Source organism: Homo sapiens, chromosome 14, assembly GCF_000001405.40.
Source record: "Homo sapiens chromosome 14, GRCh38.p14 Primary Assembly".
Taxonomy (NCBI): domain Eukaryota; kingdom Metazoa; phylum Chordata; class Mammalia; order Primates; family Hominidae; genus Homo; species Homo sapiens.
The window spans coordinates 96201439-96227006 of record NC_000014.9 but is presented as its reverse complement, the minus strand read 5'-3'; the positions used below and the strand labels follow the sequence as shown (position 1 = coordinate 96227006).

The 25568-nt window shown below is 49.8% G+C and overlaps 1 protein-coding gene and 1 pseudogene across 2 annotated transcripts in view, besides 1 other annotated feature; both read right to left on the bottom strand.

Moving 5' to 3' along the window:
* BDKRB2 (bradykinin receptor B2) overlaps window positions 1-22168 on the bottom strand; it is a 39326-nt gene extending 17158 nt beyond the window's left edge. For both annotated transcript variants that reach the window (NM_001379692.1, NM_000623.4), the window contains exon 1: window positions 22048-22168. The gene's annotated coding sequence lies outside the window, so the exon portion shown is untranslated. The remainder of the gene's footprint in view (window positions 1-22047) is intronic.
* Window positions 3188-3962, bottom strand: CKS1BP1 (CDC28 protein kinase regulatory subunit 1B pseudogene 1; annotated as a pseudogene).
* Window positions 21832-22707: an enhancer, noted in NCBI's record as "H3K4me1 hESC enhancer chr14:96670637-96671512 (GRCh37/hg19 assembly coordinates)". NCBI's record gives its function as "activates a minimal SCP1, AML or CMV promoter by ChIP-STARR-seq in naive H9 embryonic stem cells {active_cell/tissue: H9 hESC(naive)}" and the evidence as "EXISTENCE:reporter gene assay evidence [ECO:0000049][PMID:30033119]".

Below are 25568 nucleotides of genomic sequence, written 5' to 3'. Positions count from 1 at the left end.
GGGTTTGACCCAGGTTAGAGGGACTCAGGTTCTGGGGCCAGGGCTGTAGCCCTCTCGGACACTGCCCGAGGGGCTTTCTGACTTGAGCATAGGGTTATTAGACTGGACATATTCCTCCCTCCATCTTTCTTCCGCCGTTGGAATTCTTGCCAAATTAACCTTACAGAATCCTGGAGTATTAGTGTGGGAAGGGCTCTTGGAAATTATTTCATCAGAATCCCTCATGCTACAGAGATGGGCATGGAGGCCCAGAGACAGAGGGTGGGCATTCTACCAGGACACACAGCCAGTTTGGCTGAACCTAGTTCCTAGGATCTTGGTATTCAGCCACTTTGTAATTTTTTTTTTTTTTGAGACCAAGTCTCACTTTTGTTGCCCAGGCTGGAGTGCAATGGCACGATCTCGGCTCACTGCAACCTCTGCCTCCCAGGTTCAAGCAATTCTCCTGCCTCAGCCTCCCAGGTAGCTGGGATTACAGGCATGCACCACTACGCCCAGCTAATTTTGTATTTTTAGTAGAGACGGGGGTTTCTCCATGTTGGTCAGGCTGGTCTCGAACTCCCGACCTCAGGTAATCCGCCCGCCTCAGCCTCCCAAAGTGCTGGGATTACAGGCTTGAGTCACCGCACCTGGCCTGCCACTTTGCTTTTTAAAATCGTCCTACAGTGCTCCATTGCAGGTGGAAGACACAGCAGTGTGCTAACATTGTCTGATTGTCAAAACCAAGACCTCATACCCCAGGCCGAGGCAGAGGGGTAGTGGGGGTGGAGAGTGGGGAGCTTACATCAAACCTTAAGAGCAATGGCCTTTGCATGGTGGTCATGATGTCCTCATTCCACTTTCCTGCATGCCATTCATGTATACCAGGAAAAAATAGAAACCCTCACCAGAGAGCAAAACCAAAAACCACATAGAAAGGAAGGCTGCAGGTCTGGAAGAGGGTGTGTTTCCCAGAAAAGCAATTCCTAAGGAACAGCTCAGGCTGGGAAGTGAGCCGTAGCTGGGTGTGTCCAGGAAGGCTGTTTCTCCCGCAGCCTCTCCAGCCCCCTGGTGGTCTCCGGTGTCCTGGGGATGGCACAGGCCCTGCTAGGGTGGGAGTGGAGGGTGGTGGGCGGGGTCTCTGCCTAACCAGTTACTGGCCCTGCTCCTCCACCACGTGCAAACCTGGGCTGTGACCTTCTTCCCACCCAGCTGGGTATACAAAACAAGGAGGAGGAGACACAGTAAACAGAGAACCCTAACTGGTAGGTCACAGAGAAAAAGGAATCCTGAACTGGTTTGGGCCCTGCCCAGCAAGCAGGCCAGAGGAGCCGGGGAGAGCACTGAGCTGGGACAGGTGGAGTTTTATCCCTATCTGCACAGGGTAGTATCTGGGGTCTAAGGGCTTCCCACAACATATCCTAGGTGCTGAAGGGACCTATACTATTGCCCTTTCAGCTCCTGGGAGTCGCTTTCCTGCCCCTTTCATCCGTTCCTTCCTTCATTTTACTCTGCTTAGTGTGACATGGCAGCACAGGCACACACATGGTGGGCAGGGCCAAAAAAAAAATTAGGATATCAAGCGACATCTTAGTGCCACCCTACAAGGGCCACCTCCAATCTCACCTCCTCTAAGAAGCCTTCCCTGATTTCTCAGCCAGCCAAGATCCCTAGTCTGAGACTCTATAGCAAAGAGGTGGAAGGAATATTGTCTAAGGGTCGTAGGCCCAGGACCAGGTGTGCCCTTGGGTAAATGCCTCGGCATCTCTGAGCTTTAATTTCCTCATTGGGAGAATGAGGGGATGTAACAGATGATTCTGGAGACCTTTGTACAACCGTAATGTCTTTAAAGAGGGGGATGCAGTGAACTCCCCATCCTGAGAGGCATGCAAGCAGAGGCAATGGGATCAGCACACTGAGTCTGCAGAGGTTCAGCTCCTCACCCATTGGCATCCAACGGCTCTTCTGGAGATGGGAGGAACAAATCTGTCTTAGCAAGTTCCCCTTCACTGGGTGTGGCACAAAGGAGGCTGCTCCCTGCCTTGCTCCCTGTGGCTTCTGAAGATCCTGGGTCCTGGCCCTGACCTGTCAGTCCTGCTCACAGTCTCGCCCATCTCAAAGCCTCACCCTAGCCATGTGACCTTTGTCTTCTATCCAATTCCGCTCAGGAGGTGGAGCCCCTTGGAATTGAGGGAGTCAACCTTCAGAATTCCAGAGTTCCTGGTTCTGCCAATGTTACGCCTTTTCTAGAAAGGAGCAGGAGAGAAGCATGTTCCTTAGAGCTGATCTGCAGGGAAACGGGCCCAGAATCTCTCAGGACTGGAGAAGCAGAGAAGACAGGAAATGTTGAGCCCTGAGCCCGAGGCAAGAACATTCAGGTCATGCCTGAACTCAGAAGTCAGATGAACTCGGGACATGTCTTGGCTTTGCCTCCACTGACTGGAAGACCTAGGGCAGGTGACTTAACCTCTTGGTAAATAAGGATAACCTCCCTGGAACAAGGCACTGGGAGCACCGTGACAATGTGCAAAGTGCCTGCAACATATCTTCATTTCATTTATATTGTTTCCATATTTTTAAGCACATTACAGAGAAACCCCTGCAATGTAGGGACTAATATTATCATCCCCATTTTGCAGACGAGCAAACAGAGGCACAGCTAGCAAGACTAGAGTTGAGATTTGAACATAAGCAGTCTGGGCCAGAACCTCAGGTGGAGATGATGGTTCTTTTTTTTGCTTTTTAACTTTTTATTATGGAAAATTTGGAATATACCCACAAGTAGATAGACTAGCATAATGAAACTCCACATACTTCACCCAGCTTCAGTAATTACCAACTCGCAGCCAATCTTTTTCTCTATGCCCAAACCTACCTTACCCCTCCTGTAATATTTGCAGTAAATCCTGCATGTCTGTCATTTCATCTGTAAATATTTCACTATTCTTCTCTAAAAGCTAAGGACTCTTATTTCAGAAAGCATAACTAGACAACCATTATCACATCTCGAAGAAACTGACAATAATTCCTAAATGGCATCAACTATCCAGGAAGTATTACAACTTTCAATCATATGAATTTCACGCTACTTTCTTCACAGCTGGTTTTCTTGAATCAGAATGCAAATGACTTTACACATTGGGTTGTTTGATAGGTCTCTTAAGTTTCTTTTCACCTACAGCCTTCCCTGCTATTTCTTTTTTTTTTTTAGATTATAAAAACTTCCTTGTTAATCAAGGCTTTTAACATGAACAGATTTCTTGAATAAAATGGAAAGTTTCCAGTACGCTGAAACATAAATCCACAAGTGACCTTACATACAACACCAGGCAGGAAAAAACAAAAACAGCAAGTTGACATGATCCCTGTAACAGCCATGGTCTCAAACTCAGATGCTTCCTCCATCTGCCAAGTGTGTTCTGGATACAGAGCACATTGTGCCTCCTAGGGTCACACTCAGCTGAGGCTGTGGGTCCACAGAGCACTCATCTGGCTGGGCTATGGTGGTGGTGGCTCTACTCAAGAAGCAAAGCAGTTACCAGCACATTCAAACAGTGTATTGAACATCTTTTAAATATCAAAGTGAGAAACAAGAAGGCAACATAATAATGTTATCAGAAAGATGTTAGGAAGTAAGGACAGCTGTGTAAAGCTTGAGTCTGAAAAGTAGCTCGCCAGCTTCATTTCTTTGGCTTCTTGGGTGGTGGGCGCCGGAACAGCAAGATGTGAGGTTCTGATTCATGGATCATATTATGGACCCATCCCTGACTCTGCTGAACGCCAAGATTCCTCCATTCAGATTCAGACATCAAATGGGTTTTAGGGACCAGCTTGGCTATGTCCTTGGGCAGCATGACATGTCGATACTCAAACTCCTCGTCGTCGTATCTGTCCGAATAGTGAATTTGTTTGTGTGACATGATCGCTCGGTTTGCTAGCCTTCAGCCCTGTGCCGCCAACCTCCAAGCAACTCCCAACAGCACACCCTTCCTTGCTATTTCTTACTGTCTTTTCTTCCAACTTCCAGTTGTTTGTTCTACAGAATTTTCCATAGCCTAGAGCGGTCGGTGATGTCCAATAGAACTATAAAGTTAGCCACAGAAGTAACTTCAAATTTTCTAGTAGCCACATTAAAAAAAGTAAAAAGACACAGGTGAAATCAATTTTGGTTATATATGAGATATAATCAAATATATCCAAAACATTATTTTAATATGTAATCAATACAAAAAGTCATTGAGTTATTTTATATTATTATTTTTTCCTGCTAACTCTTCAAAATCTAGTGTGTATTTACACTTAGCATACCAGTTTGAAGCAGCCACCTTTCAAGTGCTTGGTGACTGCATGTGGCTGGTCACTGCCATATTGGAGAGTGTGCAGCTCTGGAGTTTGACCATTGATTGCATTCTTCTCACAACCTGTGATATCGTGATATATTAGGAAATACATATTTGGTCTTTGACACCAGTTCCTGACACGGAGCTCCTAACTCCCTTGACATTTCTAGATGATAGGCACATCTTTTGTTCTAATGAGGTGGCTCTTGGTGGTGGCTGGATAGGCTCAGGATGGGGGCTGTCATCAGAATGACCAGGCCATGATACAAAGCTTGGAACTTTCACCCCACATCCTCCAGGAAGGGAAGAGGGGCTGGAGATTGAATTTATTATCCATCATGCCTATATGATGAAGCCTCCATCAAAATCCCTAAAAGACAGGATTGGGAGAGCTTCCGAGTTGGTGAACGCAGGGAAGTGCTGAGCTGGTGGTGCCCCCAGAGACAGCACCGAAGCTCCAGGCCCCTGCCCCACGTGTGGGTCTGTGCCTCTCTTCCACCTGGCTGTGGCTGAGTGGTGTCTTTTATTATAAGTCAGTAATGTAAGTAAATGTTTCCCTGATGCTGTGAGCCATCCTAGCAAATTACTGAACCCGTGGAGGGGGTTGTGGGAACCCTGCCTTACAGCTGGTTGGTCAGAAGTGCAGGCCACTTGAGACTTGCGATGGGTTCTGAAGTGGCGGCAGTCTTGTGGGACTGAGCTCTTATCCTGTGCTGCCTCCGGGCAGATAATGTCAGAACTGAACGGAATTGTAAGACAATTTCTGAGGAAATAAACCCACACATTTAATCACAGTGGCATCGAAAGGATTGAGTGGGAAACTGTTTTCCCTACACAGAGCCCTCAACCCCTATGACCCACTCAATCGTCCTTAATCCTTCCTCTCTCTCCTCTCCAGTGACCTTGGCCCCTTCTTTCTAGAGTCAGGCTTTCTGTCTGTCCCAATGTCCTTTGTCCTTACCCAGCCTCTTCCTTGCTGCTCTAAACACCAGGACGCTCTGGTTCCCCACAAGCCCCCTTGCACCAACCACTCAAGCACCTCTAGCAAATCTTCCTCCTCCAGGAAGCCTTTCCAGACAGCTGACTCTCCCCGGCAACCCCTCCCAAATAAACTCAGAACTCTGTCCTCCGGGTGTCTACTCAACCACACTGGTTCCAAGGTCCCAGTGTAAATACTGTGAATGTCTGTTGACGTCTCCTGAGTCCTCGCATACCCTACTTGAGCGAGGGGCTAGGACTGTGCCCACATTGGTGGTCTACAGCCAGCAGGGCTCCAGACAGGACACCCACCATGAATAGCATCAGGACAATGCTGATGACGACAACGAAGCTGATGAGCTTGCACCAGCATTTACAGAGCATTTCCCTGTTTACATTGCATTCATTCAACAAATTTATGAGTGCTTAGTCTGGGCCAGCAACCAGGGAATAATAATAGCTTCAGTTTTTGGAGGCTTACTATGAATGCCAAGCAATGTTCTAAGCACTTTCCATGAAATAATTCATGTAATCCACACCTATTTTAGATGCAGGCACTGGTACTATCCCAATTTTATAAAAATTGGAGGAATAGAGCAGTGAGGTGACTTGTCCAGAGTCACACAGAGGTGGCTTGTCCAGAGTCACACAGCTGGTGATGGGTGGAGTTGGGATTTGAACCCCGGCACCTCACTGCATTATCTCTCTTTATAGGGGGATATAGTGGTGAAGGACAGATGGTGCCTGCCCTCAGGGGTCTCCCAGGTGGTGGGAAGTGTGCCCAAGTTGGGGACAGGAGGTGTGGGAGGCTTCGTGGGGGAGATGATGACCTGAGGCCATGGCTGTGTCCACGCACTCCAGGTAGCCTCAGTTGCATCCCTCTCATATACGCTCTCAAGTATAGATCTCATCTTGGCTTTTGAGCCAGGATGCCTGGACATGGTCAAAGGTGGGGGGCAGTTGGCAAAATCTGGAAGCAGGAAGCGAGGGGGCTGAGGCACCAGACCAGAGGCACAACGGAGGCCTCAGCCAGGTCTGGGGAGATGGAGGAAAAGGGATGGATTCCAGAGAGGGCCTTAAAGGGGGTGGGGAGGGAGGGGCAGAGGAGGTGGCCCTCGGAGTCTCATGTTGGTACCTCCAGATCTGCAGGATCTCAGCCAATGACCCCAACTCCTTAGAAAACGGACAAAAAGACCTTGATGATCTCATTTGTTCCCAAGCCTCCACTTCTCCCAAAGTAAAGATCTGTCAGCTTCCTTGTATTTTTGCTTTTTGTAATTGATTTAAAACACTTCAGGGTCTATGTGTCATGGTGTGGATAAGCTCGTGCCTAGGAAACCTCCTCCAGCTCCTCCTGAGCTGCTTGAGGGACAAACTCATGCCTCTTTCACCTTTGAGACCCCTGGCATAATGTAGAGTCCTGATAGACACTTTTTAAAATAAATACCCCCGGCATTTCCTCTGACTTGCCCAGGACCACACAACTCTCAGGGGAGGGGTGGGGGCTGGGACCTGGTACTTGGGCTCCTGCTGCTCTGCCCTATGCCCTTGGGGACTTCTGGACAAGGGTGCGCTTCCCTGGGCTGACAGAGGAGACAGAGGTAGTGGGGTGCTGGTAAATGGTTAACAACGGGCTTTCTGGAAAAAAATGCCCTAACCGTAGCATTTGCAAATTTCTATGGTATAAATACTCTCGCAGTGACCAGTTTCAAGTCCAATGTCACAATGGCTCACTGCAATTGGCTCTAGGCTTGGTCGGCCAGAAAGGTCCCTGGACCACCTCCCTCTCCTGCTCCACAAAGGGCAGGAGCTCTTCCAACTCCTTCCAACTCCTACTCATCCTTCAGAACCTGCTTGATGTCACCTTCTCTAGGAGACCCTCCCAGGCACCGTAGAGACACCCCAGCCCCAGTGCTCCTATATGGCTGTCAGCACACTTTATGGAAACAGCACACTTAACTTTCTGTCTTCCCTCCACTGTGTCCCCACCTCTTAGCACTGGGCCTGGCCTACGACAGGGGCTCAGGAAATATTTGTTGAAAGGACAAGTAATGATGCTGATGCTGATAGTGACAGCAAATGCCTATATCATCTGCAATGTGCCAGTTCTAGTCTCTTTTTTTTTTTTGCTACAGTTAGGGCATTTTTTTCCAGAGAGCCAGTTGTTAACCATTTACCAGCACACCATTGCCTCTGTCTCCTCTGTCAGCCCAGAGAAGCCCACCCTTGTCCAGAAGTCCCCAAGGGCATAGGGCAGAGCAGCAGGAGCCAAGTGCCAGGTCCCGGTCCCCACCCCTCCCCTGTGAGCTGTGCAGCCCTGGGCAAGTCAGAGGAAACACCGGAGATATTTATTTTTCTCATAAGAGAAAACCCCATTTCTCTTAAGGGGTTTTTGGTTCTTGTTTTTTGAGGCAGAGTCTCGCTCTGTCACCTAGGCTGGAGTGCAATGGCGCAATCTTGGCTCACTGCATCTTCCGCCTCCTGGGTTCAAGCGATTCTCCTGCCTCAGCCTTCTGAGTAGCTGGGATTACAGCAGCATGCTACCACGCCCTGCTAATTTTTGTATTTTTAGTAGAGACAGGGTCTTGCCATGTTGGTCAGGCTGGTCTTGAACTCCTAGGCTCAAGTGATCCCTGCCTTGGCCTCCCAAAGCGCTGTGATTATAGGCGTGAGCCACCGTGCCCGGCCGTGCCAGCTCTGTTCAAAGCACTTCACAGATATTAACTCATTTAATCCCCACAACACTCTAGATGGGTTTTTATTTGTTTTGGTTCGTTTGTTTGTTTTTTTTGAAATGGGGTCTCGCTCTGTCACCCAGACTGGAGTGCAGTGGCGTGATCTTGGCTCACTGCAACCTCCGTCCCCTGGGTTCAAGCAATTATCCTGCCTCAGCCTTCCTAGTAGCTGGGATTACAGGCATGAGCTACCACACCTGGCTAATATTTTGTATTTTTAGTAGAGATGGGGTTTCACCATGTTGGCCAGGCTGGTCTCGAACTCTTGACCTCAAGTGATCTGCCTGCCCTGGACTCCCAAAGTGCTGGGATTACAGGCATGAGCCACCATGCCCAGCTCTAGATGGGTTTTTATGTCCTTATTTTGCAGATGGGGAAACCCAGCCTCAGCGAGTCAGTGGCAGAGCAGGGCCTGGGATGCAGCTCAGAAAGCTCTCATGTCCTTGGGCTTCCCTTGTCCTGTAAGATGGGTGGGGCCAGTAGCATTGCCCTCACTTTAAAAAAGCAAAACAGGCTCAAATTCCAGCGAGGGGCTTATGGAGGTTTAGGTGAAGAGCCTTGGCTAAGGTCATCCCACTATGAAGTGGATGGGGATGTGGTAGAATTAGCACTTAGGGGTCTCAAGTGCAAAAGCGCTTTGTAAACCATCAAGGACCACAGACATGCTAGAGCCAAAGAAGTTGGAAAAATCTCACCATTTAGATATTTTTAGTCCAAGCTTAACAAGTAAGGAAACTAAACCTCTGAGAGGGAGGTGACCTGTCCAAAGTCATGCACGAGCATCTCAACCCTGCCCGTCTGCACTTTCCACAATCCCAGAGTGGCACTCATTCCTTAGTGGCAGCGGGCACTGCACTCGACAGCTCATGCCATGGTGGGTTTGCACGACAGTCCTTTCCCTGAGCCTCACGATTGTCCTGGAGGAACTTGTTATGCCCATTTACAGGTGAAGGAACTGAGGCTCAGCAAAGGGAAGTGATTTATCCCATCTCACAGGCTCGTAAGTGGGGACCTGGGTGACTCTGCATACAAAACCACCAGAGAGATGAAAAGAACCGAGAAAGAGCCGGGTTGATTGTGGTCAAAAGCGTAAGGCAGACCTGGTTGGAGGAGTCTGGAGCCTGGGGCTCAGAAGGGACTTAGGGATCGCTGCCTGATTTTTGGTCATCCAGCAGTTATAGGGCCGCCTCCTTAGAGCCTGGGGGCTTCCTGGATGCATAGCCTGTCCCTGCCTCGGGGCTCCCAAGACAGGTGCTCTGGCTGGCGCTACTGGGAGAGTGAGGAGGTGACAACAAGGTCTGGGATAGACCCCCAGCCCCCCACTTCACCTCTCTGAACCTGGGCTTCCTCATCTGCAAGATGGGGGACCCAGTTGTTATGGCAGTGAAATGAGGTAGTGCCACCAGACGCCTAGCCCAGGGGCTGGCATGGAGCCAGCGTCCATCTGGGACAGCTGCCCTCAGTGTTGCTATTGCTATGGTTATTTTTATTATTAGACTCAACAATATGCCTTTGAGCAGGTGGCTTTCACTCTTTGGGCCTCAGTTTCCCCATCTCTAGGGCAAAGGAGGATGATAAGATAGATTATTTTGTAAAATCCTTCCAGCTGTGACCGTCTGCGGTGACTAGCTTTCTTAAATCTGTTCATTCTGGTGCCAGGTGGGCCTCACCATTGTAGTGACTTCCTCTGAATACATACTGCAGTGTCAGTGTTTGCACATGCATGCACAGAGACACACATATGCTGTCCTTTTTCTTCACACTATCTCGATTGTCACACACCATCAGTCCCTTGAGCACAGAACAGGGTGTTTGCTTATCTGAATCTCTGGTCCTGGGGAAGCGCAGCTATCACTGAATGTTTGCTGAGCTGAGTTAGTTGCCTTTGGTAGTAGTTAGTTCCCTGTCACTAAAGGTATTCAAGTAAAGTCTAGGCAATGTTTCTGGTGAATTTGGACCAGGATTACTTAAATTCTATAGATTTAAGCCCTAGGGCTATGTATAGCTACCCCACTCAATGCCACAGCCCCTCACTCCTTGGGCTTTCTGGTTCAAGACACACATTTTACATTTGTAGGATGTGCCGATTGTATATCAGATGTGTGGGCCTAATTTTCCCATAATCTTCCAAACAGTGCTGTAGGATCTCCTCCTCCTCCTCCTCCTTCTTCTTCTCCTACTTCCTCCTCCTCCTCCTCCTCCTCCTTCCTCCTCCTCCTCCTCCTTCCTCCTCCTCCTCCTTCCTCCTCCTCCTTCCTCTTCCTCCTCCTTCCTCCTCCTTCCTCCTCCTCCTCCTTCTTCTTCCTCTTCTCCTCCTTCTTTCTTCCTCTTCTCTCTTCTTTTTCTTTTGTTGAAACAGGATCTTGCTCTGTTGCCCAGGCTGGAGTGCAGTGGTACAATTATAACTCACCATAGCCTCTACCCACCGGGTTCAAGCGATCCTCCCACCTCATCCTTCCAAGCAGCTGGGACCACAGCTCCTGCCACCACAGCTCACTAATTTTTAAATTTTTTTTTAAAGATGGGATCTTGCCCAGGCTTGTCTCGAACTCCTGGCCTCAAGTGACCCTCCTACCTTGGTCTACCAAAATGCTTCATTTACAGGCATGAGCTACCATGCCTGGCCTACTTCTTGCGGGGAGGTGGGAGGTACAGAAGAGTTCTGTTCCCTGTTATATAAAGGCCCACCCTCCAGGAACTGTGATTTGTAGCTCAGTTGGTAGGAGGGGTCTTGCAACCTGGCCCGAGGCAGTGACTAAGGCACAGGCTATATGTGGGGCCCTGGGGTTTGTCATCTCTGCTGCTAACAAAGGTGGAAAATTCCTACTTCCTGAGCTGAGATTGAGGATTCTGACATGCATGAGCTTGCCTACTTTCCTTGGTATTTCATTTTTGGAGCCAGAAACAAAATCCTCCCAGATGCTCTGCTTGGCTCCTGTGAGTCTGACCTGCAGGCCTGTGTCTGGCAGAGGGCACGCAACAGTGGCTCACCTCCCACTCGCACTGCGCAGGGGCTGACACAGGGAGAACGGGAGTCATAGCTCTGTGTCTGCGCTTACTGCAGTGCCCTTAACCTCTCTGAGTCTCAGTTTCCTTATCTGTAAGATGGGATAGATTATTGCTACTCAGTTTCCTTATCTGTAAGAAGGGATTGATTATTAGTAGATGCCGAATCAATGTTAGGGATGACTATTAATAAGAAATTGCATCTGATGAGATGCCAGCTCCTCTGTCTCCAAGGACCTGCCTTTTCTTCCTGTTTCTGATTCCTGCAGAAACTCCTGTAGCCAAGACAACATAAAAATAATCTAGTTTGCAAGTATTTAATGAGCCACTTACAGACTGTGAGAGGAAAGCAGATGGCAGCTTCCAATGTCTTCTCTGAATAGGGTCAGACAGGAGGAGAGGGTTTAGTGGCTCCCAAACCTGTCTCTAGATCATTTAATATTTGGATAATTCAGTGAAGAAAACCCAGAACCTTCAACCCCCTCCCTTTTTTTTTTGTTTGGCATTTTTGAAAATAATCAAAAGGACAGGAAAAGCTTTATGCACAGAGATGTTCCTCATCATGCAGAAGAAGGGTCACAGGAAACAACCTAAATGTTTAGGACCAGGCAGTTGGTTAAATACATGATCTTATATCCATTCAACAAATGTCAAGCAGACATGAAAAAAGGATGCTTCTAAGAGTTCACCAAAAATGAGAGAATGTTTCTGATAACATGTTAGGGGAACAAAAAGCTGGGTAACCAAATTGTACATACAACAAAGTTCAAAAGTTGAGAAGGCAAAATACCAAATTATTACTGGCGCTGGTTGTCTTTGAGCATGGGATCATAGGTTGCTTTTGGGTTTTCTTTACTGTTTGTCATGGTATCCAAGTTTTCTGTGAAGAACATATATTCCTTTGGCAATAAAAATATTTAAATAAGCCAAGTGTTTGGAATGAATTATGGGTTTATTTACGTAAAAAAGATAATCAGCCAATTTGTGCTTAAAGGAACTCTCTTAGGTCTACAGCTGCCCCCCTGGCAGCTCTGATGCATTCGCTGCTGCAGAAAAGCCTGAACCCAGCCTGATTTTTCTTGCTTTATGGATTGCCTGTCCCCGCCCCCACCAACTCCCCAACCTCCAGTCAATCTGGATGCTTATAGTATTTTCTTTTTCTCTTTTCCATTCAAAAGTGCTGTCAGATGTATTTAGGGGACACTGTCTCGTCTCACCCCTTTTCATAACCTGTGAGCCGGGCAAGGCACCATTGCATAGGTGAGGGCTTGGAGGCTGGAGAGATGAGGGACTGGGACTCAAACCACATTTCGGGATTTGGGGACATCTCCTGGCTGTGCCCTGAGGCCACCCCGACTCTGGCATGTGAGGCAAACCTGCTGTACAACGAAGGGGTCTGGACGAGGGAGTCTCACCAGGGGTGTTCAAATCCCAGCTCTGCCGGTCACTAAGGGAGGGACTGTAAGTGTGTGGCCTCCTGTCAGAGCCCAGGTCCCCGCTTGTGGGATAAGGAGCATTGTCCCCGGCAGGAGGGCTGTTGTGAGGATCCAGTGTGGTCATCCCTGGCACTCAGGAATCCTTCCTGTTGGTTCCCGTCCTCTCTCAGGAATGACAGTCGCCTCCTCTTTCCCCCAAATCCACAGATTGTTCTGTCAAGTGATGGGCCTGGGTGCCCTCACCTCCACCCCCTCAGCCACAGACACCACAGTCCAAACAGACTCCCGGAAGATATGGCCCAGACCACTTGCAGGGAAAGTCCCTGCGGCTGTACTCATCCTCATGGAAAACATGAGGACTGGCGGGGACTGGAGGGCAGGGAGTGAGGGGACATGCAGGGTGCCCCCGTCACAGGGCAGAGGGCTCTGACTGGGGCTTTTGGATCACCGCCCACCATGGGGAGGCCCAGGCAAGGGACTCATGCTCCTACCCATCTCTCCAGCCCCAGCTCCTCCTTCCCCTCCTGTCCCCTCCCTGCCCCACTGGTCTCCCCTGGCCCTGCCTGAGCATCTTTGGGAGTTCCCACCTCTCGACCTTTGCTTATGTAGGGAGGCAGGATGCGATGGGAAGACCCAGGCCAGGCTCCAGGGCCAGCCCAGTCTCTAGCTAGCTCTGTCTCCCCTCTAGGGACCATTTCCTCAACTGTCAAGTGGAGACACAATGCCTACTTGGCAGGTTTGTCGGGGGGGATACTTGTGATTGTTTTGGGGGGCCAAGGGTGCCCTGGGGCTCAGGCATATGTCAATGGCACTGGGCAGTCTCCCCTACCCTTTCTCTCCACTGTGCACCCTCCCTTACTTAGGGAGACCCTCTACTTTACCTAGGTCTAGGTCCTCCAACTTGAAACCTGCCCACAATGACACATCAAACATTGTAGGTGTGTCATAAGCTGGTGTGAGGACATGCAGGCAGCAAAGAAGCAACTTGTGTGTGTACACGTGTGTGTGTGTGTGTGTGTGTGTGTGTGTGTGTGTGTTTGGGTCGGTCCAGACAGAGGCCCAGGAAGAAGAAGAGTGGAGATCCTGCCACATGGCTCCTGATGCTGGAGGCTTAGGGACAAACCATCAGTGTGACTGTCCCAGTGTCCTCTGGGGATGGGACTTGGGGTTACAGATTCAGAGAGCTGTGTTAGAACCACTTGGGTCTCTGCCTGTCTCTCCCACCAGGCTCTCAGCTCCTTGTGGGGAAAGATCTCTGAGCTGAGGGGAGCCCTGAGCAGTCTCTCAGTAAGTGGTTAGGGGAGGAAGGAATAAACCAGCTTCCTGAGTCTAGGCACAGTCTGGGTACTTTCATACACAGTCCTATTGTGTTGGCACAGCAGTAGTCTTTATCACACAGGTGAGAAAGGAGAGGTTCGGAGAGGTCAGTGACCTGTCCTGGGTTACTCAGCAAGTAATTGGCCTAGTAACCTAACCCAGGACTGTTGAACAATCGGGCCAGTTGGTGCCAATTTCTAAATATTGACTATTAAAAAAATACTGGTGGCGAAATAGCTAGCACATCTGTGAGCCTGTTTGGGTTGTGGGCTCAGACCGAACTCCTATAAAGCATATGAAGCAGAGATGGTAGAATCCCAGGCAGGGGCCATGGAATGGGGGAGGGGGCGTTAACTCCTGCTATCCTACCTTTCTATAGGTGAGGCGCCTGCTGTTCAGAGACACAGGAGCATCAGCAAAACCCATCAAAGAACTGGGGGCCAGGGTAGAAAGGAGACCTTTCTGGGGGTGCTGATGGAAACTCCTACCCAGGCAAATCTTGTTTCCCAGGCATTCCCCCAGTGAAGACTGCACTGCTGTGCCCAACTTTGGCTGCAGGCTACTCTTTACCACCCAAGTGAGCCGCCACCCACTGATCTCTGCCATCAACTTATTCTAATTCTCTGCATAGCACATAGCACTTCCTGGGATTGCCCTTCTCCTGTCTGCTCTTCAAAGAGCCATCCTTAGATGGCCTACTGACATTAATGCTTTTTACCTTTCTAACTTGTCATTTTGTTTTTGTAATTCTTTTCTTTCTTCTACTTTTTTGGATCATTATTATCTAGTTTATTGAATTGAACAGTTTTTTTTTGCAATCTTTTTGGTTTAATAATTTAAAAATTTAAAGGCATGACTCATCCCCTGACTATGGCTTTGGCTGCATCCCATAAGTTTGGTAAGCAGTGTTCTTATAGTTAGTTGTTTCTCAAATATCTATAATTTCAGTTTTGATGATCTGTCTCTTTGATGTAACAGTGTTTTCTAAAATTTTCAAGTAGTTTATTTCTATTCAAGTTTGTTTTGCTTTTTATATTTAAATTTTTGCAAAGAGATATGCATCCTCATGGTAACATTTCAGAGTGCGAAAAAGAATACAGTGAGGGGTAGGTCTCCCTCCAGATTCTGTCCCTGCCTGTTGCCTCAAGAGACAGCCAGGCTCACTGGTGTCTCCTGTTGCTTTCCAGACATCTTCTGAGCTTTCAGGAGCAGATGTGCACATATCCATGTATAAGGACGCCTGCAGAAGCACCCTAAATGCACCGCCGGCTGTGTCCTCACCTCTTTGCATTTAACAATCTGTCGACCCACCTTGCTTTTCAATAGCCTCACAGTATTTCAGAGTAGGACTGCCCTGTAATGCACCGGCCTTCGCAGGGAGTTCCCAGTTTTCGTAGGTAGTTTGCAATTCTACTACTATTTATAGCTGAAGGAACCGAAGGATCCCAGAGACCACATCTCTTGCCCTAGGTCACACAGCAGGGGAGGAATGGGGTGGGATTCAATCCCTGTGCCTGGCTTCCGAAAAAGGAGGAGCGGGAGGAGGAGGGAGAAGGGAAGTGGGTGGAGAGAGGAATCATCTTCACAGAGTCCATCTCCCCAATGTGCTACAGTTCATTTGAGGAGTCCCCCCAGGTTTTCACTACTTTTGGCTATCACAAATGATCAGCACAGATCCCTCATCTGCAGGCCCTGGCCCACGTGTGAGCACACCTGTAGCAGGTGTGCAGACCCTCTCCTGCCTCCCCTGACCTGTTCTTGTGTTCTAGCCATTGCTTTCTGGATCTTTCTGTTCAAAGAAGACCAAGAGGTCCTTCTCTCACCTCTCACTTTGCTAACCGGCCAGTGGGCTCCAGAGTGGGGGTGATGTACCCCAGGTGCAGCAGCGCATGCACAAGGTGCAATCTCCGAGGCTCCGGGAGAACCCCAGAGAGCCTCCCTCTGTGGTCAGGGAGTGACCCCTGCACTCTTAGAGCACAGCAGGTGCCAAGCATGAGTGGGTGCTAGGGGCTGAGGGAAAGGCCCAGTCTTTTCCCTCGAGAGGATTCCTGTTTGGTAGGGATGGCGGGGCACAGCCTGATGCTTCCCGAAATGTTTGGGCCCAAATCTACCTTGAAAGGAGCTGGCTGTGAGCTGTGTGCATTTAACAATCTGTCCATTTAAATTTTTGTGGAGATGGGCAGTTTGCTAATAACTTGGATCGGGGAGGGTTTCTGTCCTTTCCTGAGGCAGCAGGCACATGAGCACAGGTGCCAGAGAGTGAAGAACAGGTTTGGGGTCCCCAAGTTTTTTGGCTGGTGGGACTAGGAGGAAGGGCCTGAGGAGAGTGGCTTTTGGGTCCAGGACAGACCATTTGCTAAGGTAGCTTGTTTCAAAGTGTGGCTGAAATCCCCTGAGATATTAGCAAGTCCTTGAGTACTGTAAAGGAAAACAGAAATCTTGGGACCCCCAAACTCTTTATGCCAAAGGGAAAGTTAAGCCTGGAGACTGAGTCAGCCAACATTGTCATCCTTATTCCTAATGACAGCTGTTACTCCACAACCTTAGACATTAGCCAGACCCCCACAGAAAGGAAAAGGCCTCGGATATCTCCCCATGACTGCCCCCACAAATTGTTCTTTGCTGGGTGAAACCTTTCAAGATGTGGATCTTACCACAAAACAAGGACACATCAATTGTAACTTGAGGTCTGCAATCCAAGCCTAGCTCCTCACACTCAAGTCTGTTAGAGTCACGCTGATGGTGCTGATCTCCCCAGGTACAGCATAAAAGCAAGACAAAGGCAAGATGAGATCAGGCCTCCTTCTGCCTAACCTCCTCTTCCTACATGCTTTCTCCACTTCAAGGACATGTGTAAATACTGTGAAAGAAAAATAAAATTAAAATCCCCAGACCCCAAACGCACTAAGCCAAAGGGAAAAGTCTAGCTGGGAGCTGGGTCATGCAACCCGCCTCCCGTTTTGTGTCTAAATGGATAACTATTTACTTCCCTCACATTTTGCTCACAGTGAAATTCCTTGTGGGCCCCAGGATCTTTGCCTTCAAGCAGCTCTGTTGTATTTCACCCTCATGATATAAATTAACAGCTTAGCTTCACAGGTATGGAACAAAGGATAGAACCCAAAGTCATCCCTCTGCTCACCTGAGACGAGTGCATAGCTGACAGCTTCCTATATGCTATGATGATGATGATGATGATTATTATTATTATTATTATTTTGAGATAGAGTCTTGCTCTGTCACCCAGCCTGGAGTGCAGTGGTGTGATCTCAGCTCCCTGCAACCTCTGCCTCCTGAGTTCAAATGATTCTCCTGCCTCAGCTTCCCAAGTAGCTAGGACTACAGGCATGCACCACCGTGCCTGGCTAGTTTTTGTATTTTTAGTAGAGACAGGGTTTCACCATGTTGGACAGGCTGGTCTCGAACTCTTGACCTCAGGTGATCCACACAACTTGGCCTCCCAAGCTGCTGGGATTACAGTTGTGAGCTACCGTGCCCAGCCCTATGATTATTTTATCTTATATAAAAATGCAGATTGACTGAGCACCAGGTGAATGCGGAATTGATGATTCCTCCACCTGCTTCTTTCACATGAAAAATGTGCATTCAGTGAAGTTAATGAAAAGGCTCAAAGGGGTGCAACTGCTTGCCTCTTTTGGCCACCTTCCCCCGATTTTTCCTTCTTTCCCCTACTGCCTGCTTTTTTCCCTTTGAATAGTGAAGACCCTTCTTTGAAAGAAGCATGGGCCAGAGATGTTTCCTGTGATTTCGTGTCCCTCTTTCCTGGGTGCATCCTTAATCTTGGCAAAATAAACTTCAAAAATAATTGAGACCTGCTTCAGTCAGTTTCTCTTTGATTTACAACACTAAGTCTCATGACTCTTCGGAGAGCATAGGCCACACACATTTTCTGTGGCTCATGTTTTTCCCAGGTGCACCCTCAAACTCTCGATAAATGTCAATTGAAGTTTATCAACTCGATGAACCTTGATTGATTGAGATTTGCCGCAGTCTGTCATTTCAGTGAATAGTACCCAGACTTCAAATCACAGTCCCCAGAGCAGGACCCCCGCACCTGCGTGGGTGACCAGTCTCCAGGTGATTCTAAAGTATGACAAATTTTGGTCTTTCTCCGGCAGACCACCCTGCCACTGGAGTGTGACCACTTAGGAAACCCGCAGGGAAGAGGAGAAGCGACCTCATGACCATGATAAGAACCACAGAAGCGACGGGGCTGTGCTGGAGCCTGGCACTGTACAGGTCACAACACCCCACGGGCGTCCCCTCAGGCACTGCTCATTTCCAGATGTCACTCAGCTGGGCCACTTCTCTGTGCCCCACGACTGCCCTTCACCGGTGGCACAGATCAGAGAGGCTCAGAGGGGTTGGCAGTGAATGGGATGGGACAGGCCGGAGTAAATCTAAAGTTTGAGCCCTGAAGAGAAGCGTGAGAAGGACTCTTGCTGTCAGTGCCCACAGGCTCATTGCCTGGACACAGGAGTGTGTGCATGTCGGACAGGGCTTTTTTCTGGACACCCTTAAGCGGCCATGGCCTTACTGCAAAGCAAATGCAACCTCTGTGACCGCCCCAGGCCCTCACTCCTGCCTCCATAGACAGTCCGTCTGGTACCTGAGCTCCTGCAGTGTGCCTGACATCCCCTTTCACTACATCAGCACAAACAGAGGTAAGCCTCCTAGTGGTCCTCAAAAATAGGAATGATGCTCCCCATTGTACAGGAGAAGAAACTGAGGCTCAGATAACTTTCCTGGCCAGTAAGTGACGGTGAATTCGAACCGAGAGCTGTTTGTTCCACCGTGCTTTCTGCTGTGATGACTTTTTTGGAATGTGTGTGGGGAGGGGGAGGCACATATGTTTCCAGCCTCCAGAATCTTCCAGAACCCACTGTGATGAAAGAGTCAAAGAAATACTTCATGCCTTACGTTTGTTCTAGAAAACAACCCTGGAGTGGGTGTTTTGGGGAAGCAGAGCCTTAGGTCCCCAGGAAAACCAGAGGAGCTCAGAGGAGGAATTGAGGATTTAACACTTTTCAAGGGGGGCAGATTTAGTAGCTGTGGATATTTAGCTCAGAGAGAAGCAATAGGACTAGAATGGTACAAACCCCAAGGAAATGAAAGTGGACCCATTGCTCAGTGGGGGCAGTTGGAGGAAGAGCTTTTAAACAGTAGAACTCTCCTAAGATGGAATGCGCTGCCTCGCAAAGTAGTGAGCTCCCCATTCTTGGAGGCATGCACACTAAGATGGATATTCATGAGGCAGGGGATTCCTGGACCCAATGGATGTCAGAAGTGATGCATTTGGGGTGTCAAGTCTTGGCAGGTCTGATTGTTTGACTCATGACCCTGAGGTACCGTAATTGTCCTAAGTGCCTTCTGAATCCTCAAAACAACATGCAGATCTGCTCTGTGTGCCTTTTTTTTTTTAAAGAGCAGTTTTAGATTCACAGCAAAATTGAGCAGAAAGTACGGAGACTTACCATATATCCCCTGTGCCTACACATACGTAGCCTCCCCCGTTACTGACATCCCCCACAAGAGCAGTCAATTTGTTGTAATTGATGAACCTGCGTTGACACATCATCATCACCCAAAGTCCATAGTTTTCATCAGGGTTCACTCTTGGTGATGGACATTCTGTGGGTTTGCACAAACGCACAATGACATGCCTCTACCATTACAGTGTCATACAGAAGTTTCACTGCCCTAAAAGTCTCTGGGCTCCTCCCATTCTCTCCTCCCTCCCCTAATTCCTGGCAACCACTGATTTTTTTTATTTTTTACTGTCTTCATAGTTTTGCCTTTTTCCAGAATGTCACATATAGTTGAAATCATACAGCATATGCCTTTTCAGAGTAGCTTCATTCACTTAGTGATAGGTTCTGTATGCTTTTTTATTGCCTGCTATATGAGCAATATTTATTTATTCATTTAACCATTCAGCATTTCAGCAAACACTGATCCATCCATGTTGGGCTAGGCATCGTTTTCAGTGCAGAGGAGGCAGCTTGAGCGGATAGACAAGGCCCCTACTTTCATTCTGAAAACCAGAGTCCCCCGGTGCTATGATCCAAATGCCTGTGTCCCTCCAAAATTCACCTGTTGAGACTTAATCTCCAAGCTGGTGATATTAAAAGGTGAGACTTCTGGGGGGAGATTAGATCATGAGGTCCCCCTCCTTGTGAATGGGATTGGTGGTCTTTAAAGGAGGCCTGGGAGAGCGTGTTCACCCTTCCACCATATGAGGATGCATAGAAGGTGCCATCTATGACGACTAGGTCCTCACCAGACACCCAATCTGCCAGTGCCTTGATCTCGGGCTTCCCAGCCTCCAGCACCGAGAGCAATAAATGTCTGTTTTTTGATAAATTACCCAGTCTAAAGTATTTCTTATAGCAGCTCAAACAGGCTATGACACTGGGCAAATCTGCAGGGCTCCCCCCACCGCGCCCAGGTGGGCCCCTCCCTGACCACAAGCAGCACAGGTGAGGAGGCCGCCCTAATGTTACCTCTGGAGCCACCAAACTTGTTACTGAGCCAGTCACTGTGTTAGCAAAAACCACGTGGCACAGCTATTCGGTTGGTGCAAAAGTCATTGCGGTTTTTGGCATTACTTCTAATGGCAAGAACCGAGATGACTTTTGCACCAACCTAATATTTCCAGGTTGGGTCCCACCGGCAGGCAAATACCACTTTCAAAGTCCTCAGATCCATCATGCAGGCCCAACCATGGGAACCTCCCCGTTTGCAAGGGAGGGAATCCCAAAGAGATTGAGGCATTTCCCTGGACACTGAGCGAAGGGCTGGCTGAGGTCATGTTCCCCCTCTGAGACTCAGTTTCCTCATCAGTGCAGTGAGAGGCTTGGAGTGCAGGGTTGCAGGGAGAGCTGGGATGAGGCCTGGGGTGCTGCCTGTGGGGACAGCACGCATGCTTCCTCTTTTTCATCCAAAGACGCCTTCTCTTGGCTGTCCCCTGCTCTCACCCCAAGCAGGGGAAACAGCAAATGCTTCCTCCAAGCTTGTGGGGCTCACAACTGTGGAATGTCTCTTGCTGCTGCCAGGGCCCGAAGGACGCAGCACAGTTTTTTCTCCAGAGAACCTCGGGCAGGGCCTCTTTGCAATGTCCTCTGGGGTTGCTTACCTGTTCCCCCACCACCTAAGCCCTTCTCCAACTCAGAAATGGAATTAGGGGCGGGGTTGGCCAGGGAGGCCCCCATCACCCCACACCCAGGCCAGGGCTCCCACTTCCTGTAGGCTGGGGAGCCACAGGCGGCCTGTGACTCAGTGAGGCACATTCTGACCTGCCTGGAACAGCAACACCTGCTGTTCACCTCCACCCAGGCTGCGGAAACGACCTACTCTCAGCAACTCGAATCACGGCTGCCATTTATTTAGTGCCTATGACATACGTGGTGCTTCACAGGCAAGAGCCTACCTCTATCTTTGCATAAAGAGGAACTTCCAGGTCTTCTTTATAGCTCAGGAGACAGGACAAAATAACTCGCCCAAAAACGTCACCCACAGGGTGAGAGCAGGGCTGGAGCTGCAACCTGGGCCGGATGCAAAGCCGGTGCTTGGAACCCCTGCACCATCCTATCCCCCTGCCCTGGTCAGCCAGGACCGTGGGAAGAGGGTCTCTAAGCCCATCTGAGGTAGTCACTACCACCTGCCTCCTGGAGGCGCATCAGCCAACATTCACAAACCCCCCCACCCCCGCCTGCTTCTGATTTAACCCTGCCACCCCCAGGGAGCCAGCGAGCTGGCTGCTTTGCAGACAGAGAAACTGAGGCTCAGAGAGGTTGAATAGCTTGTCCAGGGTCACACAGGGCCAAGGAGTGGCACAGCTGTGGGTGAAAAGCCAGGTTCTGGAGCCTCCACCCAGCACCCGTCCCTGCTGCACCACACACACCTCGCTGCCTTACTCCAAGGTGTCCACTCAAAGTATGTGAAAATCCAATCACGAAATCCCTCACACACTGGACACACACAAGCCTGTCTGTCACCTTGATTCAGAGAAGAGAAACCTACAACAGACAAACAGGGCGATTCCTCCTGCTGGGAACCCTTCTCCCCATCGCCTGTCAGACCTCCCCTCCGGAAGGAAGGGAACTTTTCCCAACTCCCCACGACCACAGGGAAACTTCTCCCCGCTGCCTGCCCTCCCTCCCTCCCTCTGTGCTGGGACAGTTTGTCCTCCCAGCAGAGGTGAGGCGGCTGGAGCAGCCCCTGCCCGGCACCCACCTTCTCCGGAGCAAGCGGCATGGGCACTTCAGTCGCTCCCTGGTACTGCGGGGCAGCCTGATGTCCCCACCGTCCCCACCGTCCCCACCCCTCCTCGGAGCCCAGAAGCCAGAGCTGGAGTGGCGGCGGGAACAGCTCATCTTTCAAGGGCTGGGTAGTGATGTCATCAGCCTCCTGGGCACTTCCCCCTCCGCCTCCAGCTGAGCTCTGCACTCCTGCCCAGCTGGAGCCAGGCTGGCTGTGGGGCCGGGAAGGCTGCGGCCACCTTCGCTCTCCGCTCTGCCACCCTCTGAGCCCTGGGGGCCAGGGAGGCTCTTGGAAGATTTCCATGTTTGCGTAGCCCGGCTGCCCGTTGGAGTCGTGGGACGGCAAAAACGTCCCTCCCGGCTGACCACAAAGTGGCCTGGGAAGCCCCATGTGAATAAATTTGCCTCGCGTAACATTTATTTCTTATCATTATTTATCTTCTTGAGGTGGTTATTTTGTGTCTGAGTTTTGGATGTAAACAGTGGGCGTTTACGCGGAAGGTGTAAACAGAGGGTGGCCAGGTGGGCAGGCGGAGTCCTGGGATTTCTTTGTATGCCACGTACGGCTCCCAAGGGCGACAGTGGCAGAAGCTGTCCTGTTTCCTGGGTACGGGTGTTTGCGCTCCCCTGAGACACGCGGCCGTTTCTTCGGAGATGTATGGCGGAGGTTTCTCCCATGTCAAGGCTCAGGCTGGCTTTCTCAGTTTTGCTCAAAGACTTACTAACTATCTGCAGCACTTTACACTCCCAGGGCTGAGACGGTAGGAGCTGGAAAGGGCAGGGACTTTCAAAACATTTTTTTTTGAAGCCTTAAAACCCTTCCTTCAGAAGAGAACAGATAAGAGTGGGCCCAGTGGATCTGGGGAAGAGACAGGAGGGCCAGAGGACGTCCCCCCAGCCCATCAGCTCCTCTTCCCTGTGACTTGATTCATAACAAGCCTACAAACCAGCAATCAAGCCTGATCCCATCATCATGGAGACAGGGAAACAGAGTCTCAGATCAGTTTATGGGTGGCCTGGGCGCTAGCCCTGGCTTGGCTGTGAACTGGCTGTAGGCTCTTGAGTGAAGGCCCTCCCTGGCCTGGCTGTGTGGTTGACTCATCTGTGCACCTGGCTGTTCAACCACATTGGGGCTCCTTAATCTGGAGTTTCCTGACTTGCCAGTTGGGGACAGAGGTCTATGGACAGGCTGCCCAGAGTCCACAAGCCCTCTGAAAAGGTGTGTCTGTGCTTTATCCCCTATGGAGCCTCATCTATAGCTTTCACTAAAATATTGAAGAGCTCTGAGATCCACAACATATTGAGACCTGCATGAGCGTCCAGAGACCCTCTGAAGTCTCTTCCAACTTAGATATTGTAGAGCTCTGTATCTATGAGTTGAAAATCCTCAAGGATCTGAATCCAATGTTGATGCTTCTGTAAATATCATTGACAGAAATCTCTAAAAGACATCTGTCCATCTGCACACATCTCCATCCATCTCTGTCATATAGTTTTTTAAAAAGGCTACTTTAAACCAGTTTTGAGGTCCTGGCTGGAGGCCAGCCAGTTCATGAGCAGCTGATTAAGTTCACATTCTGGCCCTTTCTCTTACCAGGTTCTCACACTCTGGGCCACTAGCCACCTGCCCTGATGGCCTTGGAGCCAGGTACCAAACAATAATGGACAGCTCCCATCATCTGGAACTCACAAACTTATTTAAGTTAGCCAATCCATAGGGAGCCAAGGAAACCTCGTTAACACCACCCTACGTGCCACACATAGCTGCCGCCTATAGCTCCAGCTTGCTTGGACCCTGTCCCCAGTTGCACATCCTGTGTGGCCCAGCCTGACAGCCTCTCATTTGGAGCTGTAAGAAACAAAAGTTCTACCTTTCATTTATCTGAGTGTCACTGTGTTGTGTCCTGCCATCAAAAGAATATTTTAATCTTATAAAACAATTACACACTCTTCCATTCATCTACACTGGTATCTACCCACACATCCGCCCACCTGCCTATCCACCTATCCAACCATTCATTTACTTATTCGCCTGTCTGTCTGTCCATCCGTCTATCCATCCAACCATCCATCCATCCATCCATCTGTCCGTCCATCCGTCCATCCATCCATCCGTCTGTCTGTCCATCCATCAGTCCATCCCTCCCTCTCTCACTGCCTCCCTCCCTCCCTCCCTCCATCCATCCACCCACACACTCATTTATCAGATACCCACATAGCCAGGCAGTGCATTGTCAAGCAGAAGTGAATGAATCAGTCATCCCCATGCCTCAGACATCCCCGTGCCTCGGAGGAGTTTACCCTGAGGCCAGTCCCCTGCCTATGGGCAGAGCCAGGCGGAGGATTTCAAAGTGTTCCTTGAGGACTCAGTAGCACCCAGTTTATGTCTGGAGTGGCACACTTTTGTACTGCATTTTTGCTATGAGAAGGTTTGTCTCAACGCCCCTGCAAAGTCCCTGCAGCGGCAGCCTCATCACACTCCTCACCACTCAGTCTCCTTGGCTGGGGTCTGCAGGGGGTGGCTCAGCCCTGTAAAGCCTCCAGGTTCGAGTCAGCCCAACTGCGTTCAGCAAGGACCACAGGAGGGATCCAGTTATTTTGGCAAAACCCTGCCCCACTAAGCAGGGCTCTTTCACATGGCACGATAAGAAGCTGTTCCTCCTGCTGTCTCCTCCCCGGCCACTGCAGCCTCCCCAGCCACGGCCAGCCCTCTGTACTTTAGCCCCACAGACCCCCCTCGCACTCCTGAGTGGGGCAGGATTGCACTTGACCCGGGGCCTTTGATGTGGCAATCTCTGCCTGAAATGCCCTTTCTCGCCCTCGCTTGAATCAAGCCTGCTCTTCTCTTGGGAGGCTGCCTGGGGGCCTTTCCTGAAGCCCCTGGTCTTGTCCGCACCTCTTGCATGCCTGTTTTCTAACACACCCCGGAACTGTTCTTGGTGGTCTGAGAACACCACGAGGCAAGGACCCCGTCTTACTTATTGCTATTTATCACCCGGCACATAGGAGGTGCCCTCTGCAAGGAGTACAAGCAGTCTATAGGGAAAAGTGCCCAGATCCAACCTTACTGGGATGAAGGAAAGACCAGGCCAAACAGAACAGCATAAAAGCGGGCTGTAGACATGTGTGTACATGTTTGTTTATGAAAGTCCACCCTCCACCCCAATGTTCCAGATCTTTCTCTCCACATGTCTGTGTGTAAGGCACAGGTCCTCCCGGGAAGGCCATTATTCTATTCGTCGGCCTCCAGGAGCGGGCTGTGCTTTTGTCCAGAATGCCACAGTGCTGACCAGAAAGGCACTCCCTGGTCCTCTGTGAATCAGCAGCCGCCCTGCAAAAGGCTGACCAGTTACACACAGGTCAGACAGACCAGCAGGGAAACTGGAAAGCAGGGTCAGAGGATAAGTGCTGATTTGGGTTCATGGCAAAACCCATGCAGAGCCTGTAGTTTTGCCTGATTGGCACTAACACTCACAGCTAAGAACTCTAGAGAGC